The 15,045-nt window shown below is 41.5% G+C and overlaps 1 protein-coding gene across 1 annotated transcript in view; it reads right to left on the reverse strand.

The window, feature by feature from the left end:
• Positions 1 to 4,569: 4,569 nt before the first annotated feature.
• Positions 4,570 to 15,045, reverse strand: part of LOC100288966 (POTE ankyrin domain family member D-like) — a 35,531-nt gene continuing 25,055 nt past the window's right edge. The window contains exons 10-11 of the mRNA NM_001257362.3: positions 10,645 to 10,768; positions 4,570 to 9,008 (exon numbers count right to left, since the gene is read on the reverse strand). Of these exons, the coding sequence (NP_001244291.1) occupies positions 8,787 to 9,008; positions 10,645 to 10,768 (346 nt within the window). The 3' untranslated portion in view covers positions 4,570 to 8,786. The remainder of the gene's footprint in view (positions 9,009 to 10,644; positions 10,769 to 15,045) is intronic.

Consider the following 15,045-nt stretch of genomic DNA (forward strand, 5'->3'; position numbering starts at 1 on the left):
CTCCATACCTAGCACAGATGTTGCACTGAGGCTTGTGTATGCCAGGCAAGGCCAAGCTGGCTCAAAGAGCAACCAGCCACCTCTGCAAGCGTGTGCCAGGAGCCGGTGGAGCAGCCACCAAACTCACTTGTTGCAGGTCAGAGCACATCAGTTCTTCTACCCTAGAGGTAGGGCCCCAGTGCCATCCGCTTTTCCTCAGGCCTTTGCTCCATCAGCCATCAGGAGGCAGCCACTCAGGCTGTGGGAACTTGGCCATCCCTACTTCCTTGAGTAGCTGAGGTTGGTGGCTGCTCCACATGTTCCAGGTGCACCCTTGCAGAGGTGACTGGTTCTTATTTGAGTCAGCTTGGCCTTGCCTGGCATGCATAGTCTCCAGCTACTGACATGCTGCTGTGAGTGAGTTTGTCCTGCCTTGGCCCAAATTCTAAGTCTGGTCAGGGCCACAGAACGCCAAGTCCCCTGGGTGGTAATCCTGCTGCTTTCTGTACTCGAACATAAAGTCCTCCTCAAGACAGCCTGTGGTCTGCCTCTTGGCAACCAAGAAGCCCGCAGTGCCATACGAGCCCTGAGCCATGGACTGGAGCACCAAAGGCAGTGTACACCCTGCTCCTGAGCCTGCCTCTAATGTCCTCTGTGTGGTTCCATTTGTAGAACAGTTGTTGCACTGAGACTTGTGCATGCTGGGCAAGGCCAAGCTGGCTCAAAGAGCAACCAGCCACCTCTGCAAGGGTGTGCCAGGAGCAGGTGGACCAGCCACGAACATCACTCGCTGCCGGACATGGTACCTCAGTTCTTCTACCCTAAAGGTAGGGCCCCAGTGCCATCTGCTTTTCCTCAGGCCTCTGCTCCATCAGCCATCAGGTGGCAGCCACTCAGGCTGTGGGAACCTGGCCATCCTGGCTTCGTTGAGGGGGTGAGATTGGTGGCTGGTCCAACTGCTCTAGGCACACCCTTGCAGAGGTGTCTGGTTGCTCTTTGAGCCAGCTTGGCTTTGCCTGGCATGCACAGGCCCCAGGTACTGACACGCTGCTCTGAGTGAGCGTGTCATGCCTGGGACCAAATTCTAAGTCTGGCCAGGGTCACAGAAGCCTGAGTCCCCTAGGTTGTAATCCTGGCTGCTTTCTGCACTTGAACATAAAGTCCTCCACAAGATGGCCTGTGATCTGCCTCTTGGCAACCAAGAAGCCCAAAGTGCCATATGAGCCCTGAGGCATGGACTGGAGCCCCAAAGGCAATGTACACCCTGCTACTGAGCCTGCTGGTCATTTTCTGTGTGGCTCCATTTGTAACACAGTTGTTGCACTGAGGCTTGTGCATGCCAGGCAAGGCCAAGCTGGCTCAAAGAGCAACCGGCCATCTCTGCAAGGATCCACCTGGAGCAGGTGGACCAGCCTCCAACCTCATCCACTTAAGGAAGCAGGGAATGTGTGTTTGTACCATGCATTTCACTACAAGTACATTTCTCCTGAGTTTGGTGGCCTAGGTTTTCTTCTAGGTTTTTTATGGTTTTAGGTCTTAAGTTTAACTCTTCAATCCATCTTAAGTTAATTTTTGTATAAAGTGTAAGGAAGTGGCCCAGTTTCAGTTTTCTGCATATGGCTAGCCAGTTTTCCTAACACCATTTATTGAATAAGGAATCCTTTCCCCATTGCTTGTTTTTGTCAGGTTTGTCAAAGATCAGATGGTTTTAGATGTGTGGTGTCATTTCTGAGGCCTCTGTTCTGTTCCATTTGTCCATATATCTGGTTTGGTACCAGTACCATGCTGTTTTGGTTACTGTAGCCTTATAGAATAGTTTGAAGTCAGGTACTGTGATGCCTCCAGCTTGTTATTTTTGCTTAGGATTGTCTTGGCTATGCGAGCTCTTTTTTGGCTCCATATGAAATTTAAAGTAGTGTTTCTAATTGTGGGAAGAAAGTCAATGGTAGCTTGATGGAGATAGCACTGATTCTATAAATTACTTTGGGAGATATGGCATTCAGGCACAGAAATGTCCTTGTGTTAGGCAATACCATTCAGGACATAGGCATGGGCGAAGACTTCATCACTAGAACACCAAAAGAGATGGCAACAAAAGCCAAAATTGACAAATGGGATCTAATTAAACTAAAGAATGTCTGCAGAGCAAAAGAAACTATCATCAGAGTGAACAGGCAACCCTCAGAATGGGAGAAAATTGTTGCAATCTATCCATCTGACAAAGGGCTAATACGCAGAATCTATAAAAACTTAAACAAATTTACAAGAAAAAAACAAACAACCCCATCAAAAAGTGGGCAAAGGATACGAACAGACACTTCCCAAAGGAGACATTTATGCAGCCAACGAACATGTGAAGCAAAGCACTGGTCATTAGAGAAATGGAATTCAAAACCATAATGAGATACAATGTTACGCCACTTGGAATGGCCATCATTAAAAAATCAGGAAACAACAGATGCTGGAGAGGATGTGGAGAAATAGGAATGCTTTTACACTGTTGGTGGGAGTATAAATCAGTTCAACCATCGTGGAAGACAATGTGATGATTCCTCAAGGATCTACAACTAGAAATACCATTTGACCCAGCAATCCCATTACAGTGTATATACTCAAAAAAATATAAATCATTCCAATATAAAGACACATGCACACGTATGCTTATTGCGGCAGTGTTCACAACAGCAAAGACTTGGAACCAACCCAAATACCCACCAATGATAGACTGGATAAAGAAAATGTGGCATATATACACCATGGAATACTATGCAGTCATAAAAAAGGATGAGTTCATATCCTTTGCAGGGACATGGATGAAGCTGGAAACTGTCATTCTCAGCAAACTAACACAAAAACAGAAAACCAAACACCACATGATCTCGCTCATAAGTGGGAGCTGAACAATGAGAACACATGGACACAGGAAGGGAAACATCACACACAAGGGCCTGTCAGGGTGGGGGGCTAGAAAAGGGATGGCATTAGATCATGGGTTGGTGCATGCAGCAAGCCACCATAGCATGTGATACGTATGTAACAAACCTGCATGTTCTGCACATGTACCCCAGAACTTAAAGTATAATTTTAAAAAAATAAATTTGCTTTTAATTAAGCTTTTCATCATAGAACTTGTAAAGAAAATACTTCTGAATCTTTTACTACCACATCATAGCTGGGACAAACTGCTGATATTTTAAAAATAACACAAATATCAAACAGAAAGAACTAGACTTAGGAACCAAACTCAGGTTTCTGTAGTGAACAGGGCAGAATCTTAACTTTGGGTCGCCACCACTACTCCTTCAGTTTGGCCTTGGCTAGCAAAAGATGCAACCACTTATGTAAAAAAAAAAAATAAAAAAGTTAAAAAAAATCATTTCTGCTAACGGATTTTTTTTTTTTTTTTTTTTTTTTTTTTTGCAGCCACATGAGTTTTAGCCAATTCAGAAGCCTTGTTCCCCACAATTTGGAGCATTCTTTGGATCTGACCAAGTCAGGAAGAGATGGGAGAAAAGTGAAACAACATCAACAAAACCCCAAACATAAACAAACAAAAAGAGTTAAGCAAAACAAACAAATGCACAATTCATATGATTACTGAGTGTTCTAATGGTAAGGAGAAATTAAAAGCAGCTGGTGAGTAATCTTAAATTTTAGTCATTAAGGAAAAATTTTAAGACAAAACTCTAATTCAGCTACTTACCTGGAAATAAGTCTCAGGCTGGTGATTGTTCTCTGCCATCTTAGAAGCTGGAAAAAACTTACACTCACCTTCCCTGTCAGAAGCAAGCTGAAACTCAAGAAAGGAGGTGCCTGCTCTCCATCATCATGGAAGCAGGAAAACTTGCCTTGTTGGAAATAAGTAAAACTTCAGAAAAGGAGTTGTATGGCAATCAACCTTAGATGTCAACCAAATTTTGGGAGATCAGGGATTATCTGCGGGGGAGAAGCTCCCTAACCTCAGCACATTATCCTATTGGTTTGGGCAATAAAGATAGCCCAGGTTGGTATCAAGCAATAATGAGATTTATCAAAGGTCAGGACCACCTTTGTAATCTCCTTCTCTGTGTTTTTTTTTTTTTTTTTTTTTTTTTTTTTTTTTTTTTTTTTTTGAGACGGAGTCTCACTGTCTCTCCCGGGCTGCAGTGCAGTGGCACGATCTTGGCTCACTGCAAGCTCCACCTCCCAGGTTCACACCATTCTCCTGCCTCAGCCTCCCAAGTAGCTGGGACTACAGGCACCCGCCACCATGCCCAGCTAATTTTTTGTATTTTTCGTAGAGACAGGGTTTCACCGTGTTAGCCAGGATGGTCTCGATCTCCTGACCTTGTGATCCATCCGTCTCAGCCTCCGAAAGTGCTGGGATTACAGGCGTAAACCACCGCGCCCAGCCCTCTTTTTTTTTTTTTAATCTTTATTGGTATAGTCTGTTTTGTCAGAAACTAGGAGTGCAACACCTGCTTTTTTCTGTTTTCCATTTCCTTGAAATATTTTTCTCCATTCCTTTATTTTGAGCCTATGTATGGCACTGCATGTGAGATGGGTTTCTTGAAGACGGCATACTCCAATGGGTCTTGGTTCTTTATCCAGCTTGCCCCCTGTGTCTTTCAATTGGAGCATTTAGCCCATTTCCATTTAAGGTTAGTAATGGTATGTGTGGATTTGATCCTGTCGTCATGCTGTCAGCTGGCTTTTTTGCAGACTTATGTAGTTGGTTTTTAGCATCACTTGTCTGTGTACTTCAGTGTGTTTTTGTAGTGGCTGGTGGTGGTCTTTTCTTTCCATATTTAGTGTTTCCTTCAGGAGCTCTTGTAAGGTAGGTCTGGTGATAACGAATTCCCTCAGCATTTGCTTGTCTGAAAAGGATCTTGTTTCTCCTTCACTTATGAAGCTTAATTTTGCTGGACATGAAATTCTGGGTTGAAATTTCTTTTCTTTGAGATGTTGAATGTCTTTTCTGGCTTGTACAGTTTCAGTTGAGAGGTCTGCTAAATCTGATGGAATTCCCTTTGCAGGTGATGTTGCCTTTCTCCCTAGCTGCCTTTAACATTTTTTCTTTTATTTTGACCTCAGAAAATCTGACGATTACGTGTCTTGGGGATGATCTTCTCATGGCATATCTTACTGAGGTTCTCTGGATTTCCTGAAGTTGAATGTTGGCCTGTCTGGCTAGGTTGGGGACATTCTCATGAATGATATTCTGAAATGTGTTTTCCAAGTTGGTTCCATTCTCATCTCTTTCAGGTACATTAATCAGTCATAGATTTGATCGTTTATATAATCCCATATATCTCAGATGTTTTGTTCATTCCCTTTCATTCTTTTTTCCCCCATTCTTGTTTTCCTGTTTTATTTCAGAAAGCCAGTTTTCAAGCTCTGGGATTCTTTCCTCTTCTTGGTCTATTCTGTTGGATGGTCTTGCACATGAGATGGAGCTGGTCTGACCTCAGCCCTCCCTAGTCTGCTTGCCTCTCCCAGGACCCCAGCCTGGCCACACCTGCTTACAGGGCACTCTCAGGTGCCCACACATACAATAATATTCATAATGCAATCACACACAATCACCATGTGACTGCATTATGAAAATTCTTCTAGTGTGATTTACAGCTCTGTCAGGTCAGTTATTTTCTTCTTTATACTTGCTCTTTTGTCTGTTACTTCCTGCAATGTTTTACAATGATTTTTAGCTTCCTTGTATTGGATTACAACATACTTCTTTCACTCAATGAACTTTGTTCCTACCCATATCCTGAACTCTGCTTGTATCATTTCAGACATCTCAGCCTCAGCCCAGTTCTGAACACTTGCTGGAGAGTTGATGCAGTCATTTGGAGAAAAGAAGGCATGCTGAATTTTTGAGTTTTCAGTGTTCTTGCACAGAGTCTTTTTCTCATCTTTATGGGCTTATCCATCTTCAATCTTTGAGGTTGCTGACGTTTGGACAGGGTATTTTTCCTTTATTATATCTGATGACCTTGAGGATTTGATTGTGGTGTAAGGTGGATTCAGCCAACAGGTTTTGTTTTTGGAGGATTTTAAGGGGCCAACATGCAGCTCCCAATTCTTGGACTGTGTGCTTTAACTCTGGGGAACTTGTATTGGGCCACAACTTTGTTCTCTGGCTCCTCGAGGTTTGGAGTCCACTGCACTGAGGGGACCAAAGTGCGGCAGCTGTGGCAGAATGCTAGCAGATGCAAAAGTCCCTGCCTCCCTGTGGGCATTCACCCAGTGGTGGAGGCAAAACAGCTGGGGTGTGGGCCAGGGGGCCCCTGCTGTGTGTGCTGTTGCACTGGAGGTAGTGCTGGTTTGGGGTGGGTGGCTGGCCAGTGAAGGTGCCTTCTTTGATCCCCCCCAAGCAACAGTGGTCACTCAGGGTATAAGAAGGTCCCTTTTCCTCTGCACAGCATTACCTCAAGGGTGAGATGCTAGCAGGGGTGGGGTTTTTGGTTCTGTGCCCACCATGGCTTCATCTTCAGTGGCAGTTCGTGTGGGTTGGGGTGTGTGCTGCATTCCCATATGCTGTTAGGGCAAGTACAACAAAACCCACCTGTGTAAACACACACAGCAAAGTGATGTAGGAAGTTTCCATATAAAGGGCTGCAGTATGGAGAGGTAATGTGCAGGCTAGTGCGTGGCTGTAGAGGTCACCTTGCTGCAGCTCTCCATTGATCAGGCACGGTCCGCTTGTACAGAAGCTATGGTGTGGGCACCCGAAAGTGCCCTCTAAGCAGGTGTGGCCTGGCTGGGGTCCTGGGAGAGGCAAGCAGACTAAGGGGTGCTGAGGTCAGACCAGCCCCATCTCATGTGCAAGACTGCCCAGCACAGATCAGGTCTCAGAGGAGAACTCTCTCAAAAGTGAATCCTCAGCACAGCACAACTGCTCTACACAAACGTGGCCAGACTTCTTTTTTAAGCAAGTCCCCTTTTTTACGAAGAGAACTCTTAGACCTGATCTGTGCTGGGCAATCTTGCACGTGAGATGGGGCTGGTCTGACCTCAGCACTCCTAAAGTGCTGGGATAAAGTGTCTCATAAGAGCAAGTGGAGCCTAGAGACATAGCTGTCCCTGCCCTCCGGGCTCCACATCAGCTGACTTGCTGCTCCACCACTTTCCTTGTCTCCTGGGGGCTCCACCCCAGAGAGGTGTAAGTTAGCAGTTACTTAATGTAATCACCCCAGGATGGAGGGTCTGTGTTGTGGGCCCAAGCCAGGGTTCCTTGTCTGGTGATGAGCAGTAAGGGGTGTGTTGTACCTGTGGAAGATGGACTGACTTGTTCCTTGTGTCAACTGCAGCTTGTTGGAGGTGTCAATATGGTACTTAGGGTCTTTGCTCCCTTGATATTCTGAGGGTAGCAAGGGCAGTTCCACTGCAGAGGCAGTGGCAGAGAGGATTTCTGTTGCTCCTGGAAGCTCTGTCCAGGGAGTTGCTGAGTTGCTACTGGCTTGAAAGCTCAAGTGGGGGGCTGGCTGGAGACCCAGGCCAGGAAGACCTGCCCATCGAGGAGATATGGAAATGGGCACCCACATAACAGTCTGGCCACTTTTCTGTGGGGCTGCCGTGGTATGCTGGGGGTCCACTCCAGTCGCCAATTGCCTCGTATTTTCCAGTGGCTGAAGGTATCAGCAGTGAAGCCTGCGAAAAAGCAAAGACGATAACCTGCCCTTCCCTCTGGGAGCTCTGTACCTCTGAGGTATGAACCTGTTGCCAATCTGAACACACCTGTAGGATGTGACTGGAAGCAAGTTGAGAAGTCTTGCCTAGTAAGGAGGAACAGGAATAGGGACTTGTTTAAAAAAGAAGTCTGGCCACGTTTTTCTAGAGTGGCTATGCTGTGCGGGGGGTTCAATTCAGCCCCTGGTCTCCTCAGACACTCTGAAACTCTAAGACTGAACTGGCTGAGTCATCCAAACAGCAAAGATGACAGTCTGGTCCTCCCCCTGGGAGCTCTCACTCAGGAGGCCTGAAACCTCTGTCAGCCAGAGAACAGCAGTGAAGGTGGCTGGAGACCCTGGTTGAAAGGCTCCAGCCAGTGATTAGAAATGTGGTTGGGGACTGGCTTAAACAAGAATCTGGCCACGTTTTCGCAGGGTGGCTGTTCTGTGCTGAGGTACCACTTCCACCCCTGGTCAGCTTGGGCTCTCCAAAGCCCACAGGCCAGAAGGGCTAGTTGCCCAAACAACAAAGGTCATGGCCCACCCCTCTCTCTGGGAACTCTGTCCCAGGAAGGTTTCAAATCTCCATTGGCCAGGGAACACTGGTGGGTGTAGCTGGAGGCCTCAGGTGGGAGATCCTGTCCAGTGACGAGGAACAGGATCAGGGGCCTGCTTACAGAAGCATTCTGGCCATGATTTGGTAAAGCAGCTGTGCTATGCCACAGGATCTCTTCTGCCCCTGGTGGGTTTGTACTCTCCAAAGCCCGCACGCTGGAATGGCTAAGTTGCCCAAACAGGAAAGATGGTGGCCTGCCTCATCTTTTCTCTCAGAATTTATCCTGTGTGATGGAGCTTAATTTTTAGGTTGTTAATTTTACTGTCAGCGTTAGAGTTGTTCAGAAAGAATCTCACTGTTATCTTTTAGGTGAGATATATGAGAATTCATTTTCTCCTGTAAATAAACCTGTTCATGTTTGTTCTCTGGAAAGAAGTCCCTTTCAGCTATCTGACTTTGATCACAATCATGTAGAGCAGTAGTCAGTCTACAATGACATGATTGAATTTCCATTTCCAGTGTTTCCTAGCTGTGTCTTACATTCTCCAGTTCAGAACTGAGCATTCTCAGTTGTCAAAATCCTAAGCTGTCCACTGTACTTAAATATTGGTTTTCGTTAATGCTTCTTCATTCAATTGCATAGCCCTTAGAAGTTTATCAGTCTTTTCTTTCACACTTTCAATTTCCTCCAAAATTTTATTTTCCCTTAGCTGGTTCTGATGTTTTGTTTCATCTAGTTCCAGTCTTAGCACGGCAATTTCTTCCTGCAACACGCTGTTTTCACGCAAGAGATCTTCTTCTTTCTTATGACTAAGAGAAAGCTAAGTAAACAAAGGGAACTTTTAGTTAGCACTCAATAGAATGACATATCATGATTTCTTCTAAAATTAAAGAATGACATTTATATTTGTATAATGAAATAATTCCCATAGTGGATATTTAACTGGAAAAAAGTTGGACAAAACTTCAAATCTAAAAGAGTGTAAATTCCAAAAAGTTGAAATATTTATCTAAAGACCATGAAAAATAAATCACTAGAGGATTTTTAAGAATTTCAGAATTGGAAAAGCCTTTCTCTGAATTACAAAAAACCCAGAGGCATAAAATAGAAGATTAATATATTTGGCTACATTTTTTAAATTGGGTTTACACTCTGATATCTAACCTATAAACCACACCATCATAAGAGCCTTAGCTATGCATATATTAGGACAGAAGCAATTCCTCAAAGTTCTTTAAGTTCCTTTTTCTGAGGAATGTTTTATCAATATACTGCTTTTCTAATATTTTTACAGTCAGTTGTAAGCATTACATTTATTCATAACTGTTAAATCTAAGCATTGTACCCTTCTACAATGTACACATCTGCATCTAAGCATTGCACTTCTACATACAACACTCAACTCATTTAGGATCACGATTCTTAAAAGGAGAGGTCAAAAAATATATGCAGCCAGGACCAGTGGCTCACACCTGTAATCCCAGCACTTCAGGAGGCTGAGGCAGGAGAATCGTGTGAACCTGGGAGGCAGAGGTTGCAGTGAACTGAGTTTGTGCCACTGCACTCCAGCGTGGGTGACAGTGCAAGACTCCATCTAGAATACACACACACACACACACACACACACACACGTATATATGCAATGTGCACGATTTTTGCCAGGTCTTCTGATGCTACTGCTAGTGATCCTCCACAAAATCACAGTTGCTTCTGTGGTGTAAATATATAAATACAAAAGAAACCTTTTATTTCAAAATACAAATGGTAAATAAGATATAACTTACAAGGCTTTTCTTAGAAATCATGAGATTATTTGCCATTGCAATAACTTTTCTTTCCTCTTTATAATGTTTGAAACATTGTAGTAGTAAGTGTGAAATAGGGGAAACATACTGAACTATTCATCTGGGAACAAAATACTTATCAATAAATTATCACTAAATGTGTATCATGGCATGTCATTGTTTTCAAAGCTCTTTGCATTGAAATGAGAAACTACTCGGAGCAAACTGTTCCTCTCCTCAAAAGCAAGGATAATGACATCCACAATGTGGCCTCTGACCCAGCTGTACATTTCCTACTTTCCTATTAGTGAAAATAACAAACTGACTTCTCTATTAATATTTTAAAAAGAACTAATGTCCCAAAACTAGCAAATCTGTTGTTAGTAGCAAAACTTATTTTTGATATTGGAAAGATAATCAATTCTTATGAAAAATATCAAATGCTTTTCCTTTGGATTGAGGCCATTGTGAAGGTCACTACTCGACTGTTGCAGGCAAATGCAGTTGAATTAAGAACATGGTTTTATCCTATATGTACATATATAAATATATGACCAAGGATATACAGGGTGTGTATATATGTGATTTAAAAATCCTTTATACCTTCCAAAATAAAGCTTTTTAAAAATATATACACATATGAAAACATTTGAAAATGACTAAAGAAAATACCTCAGAATTCATTTTCTGTTCAGCCACTTCTATCTGCTTTTGTTTATTAGTCAGAATCTCATCTTGTGATATTCCAGTGTTCTGTTCTTCAGAAAGTTGTTTCCGGGTATCATTTTGTTCGTCACTAGAAGAAATTTTAATTTTCATGAAATACTGGAGGTGTCCCTAAAATGATCTACAGGGCAAGATGGCACCATCAGATGTCATTCACACAATGTATATCTGCACATTAATCCAAGACAAGACAAAGGGGTCTCACATCTGTTAAACCTGCTCTCACAGTCATGTTGGCACCAGGGACTAGTTTTGTGGAAGATAATTTTTCCATGGACCTGAGGTGGGGGATGGTTCCAGGATGATTCAAGCACATTACATACATTGTGCACTTCATTTCTATTATTACTAATATATAATGAAATAATTATATAACTCGCCATCATGTAGAATCAGTGGGAGCCCTCAGCTTGTTTTCCTGCAACTAGATGGTCTCATCTAGGGGTGACAGGAGATGGTGACAGATCAGAAAGCAATAGATTCTCATAAGGAGTGAACAACCTATATCCCATGCATGAGCAGCTTGCAATAGGGTTCAAGTCACACTCCTATGACAATCTAATGTCACCGCTGATCTGACAGGAGGAGGAGCTCAGAAGGTAATGTGAGTGACAGAGAGTGGCTGTAAACAGATGAAGCTTCACTTGCTCCCTACCACTAACCTCTTGCTGTGTGGCCCAGGTCCTAACAGGCCAGGGACTGGTACTGGTCTGTGGCCTGGGGATTGGAAACCCCTGTGTTAACCTAAACTTTTTATGTTTATTTTTTGGAAACAGTTTCCACTTATATTCTTGATTCCTCTGTAATCTATAGACAACTTAGAAATTCCCTTTGGAACAAGACAGGCTCTAATATTGTGTTTTTAACATAGAACTTTGAATTCATTTTATCTGTGTATGAGAGAGAAATGTGAAATAAACTGATCAACAATCGCTTTCAATTTTACTTTTATTTCATGCATATTAAGAAGAAAACTGGGAAGCCCTAGGCAGAGCAATTGGGCAAGAGAAATAAAGGGCATCCAAATTGGAAAAGAGAAAGTCAAACTCTCTCTTCACCAATGATATGATCTTATGCCTAGAAAACCCTACAGACTCCTACAAAACACTCCTAGATTTGATAAATGAATTTAGTAAAGTCTCAGAGGTTACAAAATATACAAATACCAATGAATAGTACCACTATACACCAACTACAACCAAGCTGAGAGTCATATCAAGAATCCAATTCTTTTTACAATGGCTGCAAAACAGTAAAATACCTAGGAATATACTTAATGAAGGAGGTGAGTGATCTATCAAAGGATAACTGGAAAACACCACTGAAGAAAATCACAGATGATACAAATAAATGAACATACATTCTATGTTCCTGGACTGAAAGCATTGATATTGTGAAAATGCCATAGTGCCCAAAGTAGTCTACAGAGTCAATACAGTTTCTACCAAAGTACCAATGTCATTCTTCACAGAGTTATTTTAAAAAGCTGCCATTCATGTAGAACCACAAAAGAGCCTGAATAGCAACAGACATGCCAAGCAAAAGGAACAAACATGTTGGCATCACATTACCTGACTTCAAATTATACTCTAAGGCCACAGTAACAAACATCGTGGTACTGATATAAAAGTAGATACACAGATCAATGGAACAGAATAGACAACTCAGAAAAAAGGCCACTTACAACCAAATGATCTTTGAGAAAGGATACAAAAACATACACTGGAGAAAGCACACGTTATTCAACAAATGGTGCTGGGAAAAAAAGATAGTCACATATAGAAGAATAAAATTGGATCTCTATCTCTCACCATGTAAAAAAATTAATTCAAGATGGATTAATGGCCTAAACCTAAGACCTGAAGACATTAGCCTAGGCAAATAATTTATGATGAGGACCCTGAAAGCAAAAGCAACAAAAATAAAAATAAATAAATAAATAAAGACCTAATTAAAGTAAAAAGCTTCAGCACAGCAAAAGAAATAATCATCAAAGTGAGCCAACAACCTATACAATGGGGAAAATATGGGCAAATTATGAATCTAACAAAGGATTAATGTCCATAACCTACCAGAAACTCAAACAAATCAGCAGGAAAAATACAAATAATTCCATTAAAAAGTGGGCACATGACATGAATAGACATTGCTCAAAAGAAGATGTACAAATGGTGAACAAGAATATAAAAACATGCTAAATATTACTAATCATCAGGGAAATGTACAATAAAACAACAGTGAGATATCACCTCACTTCAGCCAGAATGGTCACTACTAAAATAAAAAAAACAGCAGATGTTGGTGTGGATGTGGTGAAAAAAGAAGAGTTATACACTGCTGGTGGGGATACAAATTAGTACAAATCTATGGAAAACATTATGGAGAATTCTGTTAAAGTAGATCTTACCATTCTATCCAGCATTCTCATTTCTGGATACCTACCCAAAATAAAAGAAATCATACTCTCAAAAAGACACCTATATACATATGTTTACTGCAGCACAATTCACATATGCAAAGATATGTTATCAGCCAGTGTCCATCAACTGATGAGTGGAATAAAGAAAATTTTATATATATATATGTATATATGTATACCTGAGACTGGGTAATTCATAAAGGAAAGAGGCTTAATTGATTCACAGTTACACATGGCTGGGAAGGCCTCAGGAAACTTACAATCATGGCAGAAGGTAAAGGGGAAGCAGGCAACTTCTTCAAAAGGTGGCAGGAGAGAGAGAAGTGAAAGGGAAAGAGCCCATTATAGAATTATCTGCTCTTGTGAGAACTCACTATCACGAGAACAGCATGGAGGAAACCGACCCCATGATCCAATACCTCCCAGCTGGTCTTTCTCTCAACACCTGGGAATTACAATTTGACATGAGATTTGGGTGGAAACACAAAGCCAAACTATTGGGGGGGGGGTGTATCCTTACTTTTAAAATATCAAAATGTCATTATTTATATTTCAAATATAGCAATTTTTATTAGTAATGATTTTGTTTGAAAATAAAATGACCTGGTAAATTTTCTTCACTTTTAGCCTAGTATTTAGTCAAAATATAAAAAGCTGAATTTGCCAGCAGCAAACTGTAATTACTTTTAAATGAGGTAAAGATATATAAGAATATCACCGTTATTGTACTGAGAAGAAAGTGAACAAGAAAAGGAATTTAAAAAGAGAGTAGAGTATCACTACCATATACATACATGAACTGACAAAGAGACTAAAATCTCCTACTGGAGATTATGTTAGGACTTGAGCAAAAGCTTCTAAAAATACCAAAAACAGAAAGAAAATAATTAATTTTAAGGAATAAATTATACAGAGAAATATGTATTTTTTAAAAAAGAAAACAGATATTCCTGAGAGCTGTTATTAACCAATTCATCTTGACCAAAATTTTAAAATGAAGTCTACAATTCTGGAATATAAAATAGTTTCATTTTGAACATAGTTAATTGAAGGCAACTTTTATACAGAAAATTTTCGGTTAAAGTTGACTCTAACTTAGGAAAGAAATGACTTGTACCAATGGTAACAAGAAGCCACACAAAGCCAGTTTGAAATCTAGTCAATCAATGACCACTGCTCTTGCTCACCAACCAATATCAATGTGAGCAGCTTGCTTCTGAAATACAGCCATGCAGCAGCACCTGCTCCATCAGAATAGACAGTGCCTGACCAGTATTCCTCTTACTATAGGAAGCAAAAAATTCCAACTCTGTCTCTTTATTTCAAATACCAAAGGTTCATAATCCCTTGAAAAGAATTTGTAAGTCCATTAAATGTGCCACCCTAATTTTTTTTTTAAATAAAATACTAGTGGCCAGGTGCGGTGGCTCATGCCTGTAATCCCAGCACTTTGAAAGGCCGAAGTGGGTGGATCACCTGAGGTACAGAGTTCGAGACCAGCCTGACCAATGGGGTGAAACCCCATCTTTATTAAAAATACAAATATTAGCTGGGCGTGGTGGCATGCCCCCATAATCCCAGCTCCTTGGGAGGCTGAGGGAGGAGAAATGCATGAACCAGAAGGTGGAGGTTGCAGTGAACTGAGATCATACCACTGAACTCCAGCCTGGGGGATACAGCGAGACTCCATCTCAAAATAAAATAAAATACCAGTAAACTTTGCAATTCCTCTGACTCAGTTTGCCATAATTACAATTATGATTACTAGTAAAAGAATAAATAGTGAATAACCACAATATTGGGCTTTTCTCTCTAAATAAAAAAATTAATATAAAGAATGTAGCTTATTATAAAAAGCCAAAACAATTTTAAAAATGCATGTAATTACTGGGCAAAACTGTTAGAATGAACCACGTCAAACATTTTTA

The sequence above is a fragment of the Homo sapiens genome, unplaced genomic scaffold (assembly GCF_000001405.40).
Source record: "Homo sapiens unplaced genomic scaffold, GRCh38.p14 Primary Assembly HSCHRUN_RANDOM_CTG2".
NCBI lineage: Eukaryota > Metazoa > Chordata > Mammalia > Primates > Hominidae > Homo > Homo sapiens.